The sequence below is a fragment of the Homo sapiens genome, chromosome X, assembly GCF_000001405.40.
Source record: "Homo sapiens chromosome X, GRCh38.p14 Primary Assembly".
Taxonomy (NCBI): Eukaryota; Metazoa; Chordata; class Mammalia; order Primates; family Hominidae; genus Homo; species Homo sapiens.
The window spans coordinates 64,580,047-64,581,915 of record NC_000023.11 but is presented as its reverse complement, the minus strand read 5'-3'; the positions used below and the strand labels follow the sequence as shown (position 1 = coordinate 64,581,915).

General features: G+C 49.5%; 1 annotated feature.

Annotated features, from left to right (window-relative positions):
- Positions 1,054-1,554: an enhancer, noted in NCBI's record as "H3K4me1 hESC enhancer chrX:63800242-63800742 (GRCh37/hg19 assembly coordinates)". NCBI's record gives its function as "activates a minimal SCP1, AML or CMV promoter by ChIP-STARR-seq in primed H9 embryonic stem cells {active_cell/tissue: H9 hESC(primed)}" and the evidence as "EXISTENCE:reporter gene assay evidence [ECO:0000049][PMID:30033119]".

Sequence of the window (1,869 nt, the reverse complement as noted above, 5' to 3'; positions counted from 1 at the left end):
GAGAAGGGTCAGACAAGCCTTCTCGAAGTCCTGTCCCTGTCACAATTCTCAAAATCTTTTCTTCCCCAACACATCCTCAAAGGGAGGGGGAAGCAAAGGCAATACTTTTCAGCATGGGGTCTCTGCTGTCTGGTACAGGGTAGGTGCTCAATAATAAGCAAATAAATGATATTTTATTTATCTCAAGCTGAGACCAATCAGGAACACACCTTAGTGGGTAAAGGGAATCTGATGAGTAACTGCTTCTCCTAGACAGGGAGTCCCATACTTCCCCAATAGCTCAGGTGAAGGTGGACTGTGGGAGCATTCCAAACCCCTGCCTGACAAACACTTACATTTGAAAGCAAAATTATGAGGCAAAGGGTCTTGGGGTCTGACTTCCCAAGGTAGACCTAGGTTGCTGGGTTCAAGACTATCCCGAAGCACTTTCCTCTGAGATATAACAAGACTTTTGTAATTCATAGAAAACATTTGATTCCTCATAGCTCCATCCCAACATGATATAAGTAGCAGGCTATTGAGGAAGCAGGTTTTGAGAAGCAAAGTGCCTGACCTAAAGTCACACAGTTGGGATGGGGTGGAATTGGAGTTCCAACATTGGTCATCTGACCCTCCATTTACCATGCCAACTACCTTGAATTCCCCTGGCACCAATACATGAACCCAGTGGAAAGAAGACATCTCCCTCCCCTGCCACAGTCTTAGCTCCCCTCTGCTACTCACCTCAACCCCAGGATTAGCTTCTGGAGATGTGATCATAGCCTCATCGGAGTGCCAAGGTGCATCCTCTGGAGACTGTCCCTGATCTAGCCGAGCCTGGAAGGTGGTACAACAGTAATGAAGATTATGTATCCCACAGCAGAAAGTAGTATTGGGCTTATCACCTCCCTCTGGGCACTGGAAGCCTCCATGCCATAACCAGGTACTATCCATCCAGAACTCACCTTGAGCCATGGCACCTCTGGGCATAGCCAGCAGCAGGACACTGGCCTGGAATAGCAGCCTCAAACCAGACCGCCGAGCCTTACCCATAACAAGTGGCCTAGACACCCTCCCACACACATGGCTCTGATCGCCCAGCACTGCTCAGCCACCCATTAGCCACAGCTTGTCTTGCTTGGAAGCCCAGGGCAGGTCTCAGGTGGCTCCTGTTAGGGACAGATGGCCCCAAAAAGCTTCTTAGTACTGCAGACACTTTCCCCAAACCTCTCCGCACTGTCCACCCTTCCCCCAAGCCACTTTACATTTCTAACCCCTTATCAAGGCACCACAGTGAAGCCAGCAGACTTCACTTATCAGACCTTGCTGCAATAAGCAAACCCCAATTACAAACCATCCAGACCACACAGGGGGAGGTCATGGGAAACATAAACAAACTTTACCTACACCCTTCTGTAAGTTCCTGCTACCATAAATGTCACAAGGTGATATGTGGCAAAATTAGCCAGCAAACAAGCCCGTAATGCGGCCATACCAAAGAACTGCCCCAAACTCCCCTCCCCAATACAAACCCCTCATTTTGTAAGCTCAGGGCTGTCTCCTCTGAGTGTGGTGGAGCATCCTGGCAGGTTCAATAAACTTACTCGCCTGGCTTTGGGTCTACTCTTCCTTTCTCTCGGCTGACCTTATAGCTCCTTCGTGAGAAGCCTGAACTACTCATCCTGCTCTCCACTCTTGCCCTGCCCCCATCCGTGCCCCAGCCACCTGCTGCCTCTAGCTAGCAGCTGAGAGACTGGGTTTCTACCCACTTCCCTCCCCTTCTCCTATTTCCCTTTACTGGCTGCCTCTTTTTATTCACACCAGTGCAGTCCAGAGGGGTGTACATGTGTTCACATGGGAATTGCTGGGTGCTCAATTGTTAATATTAAA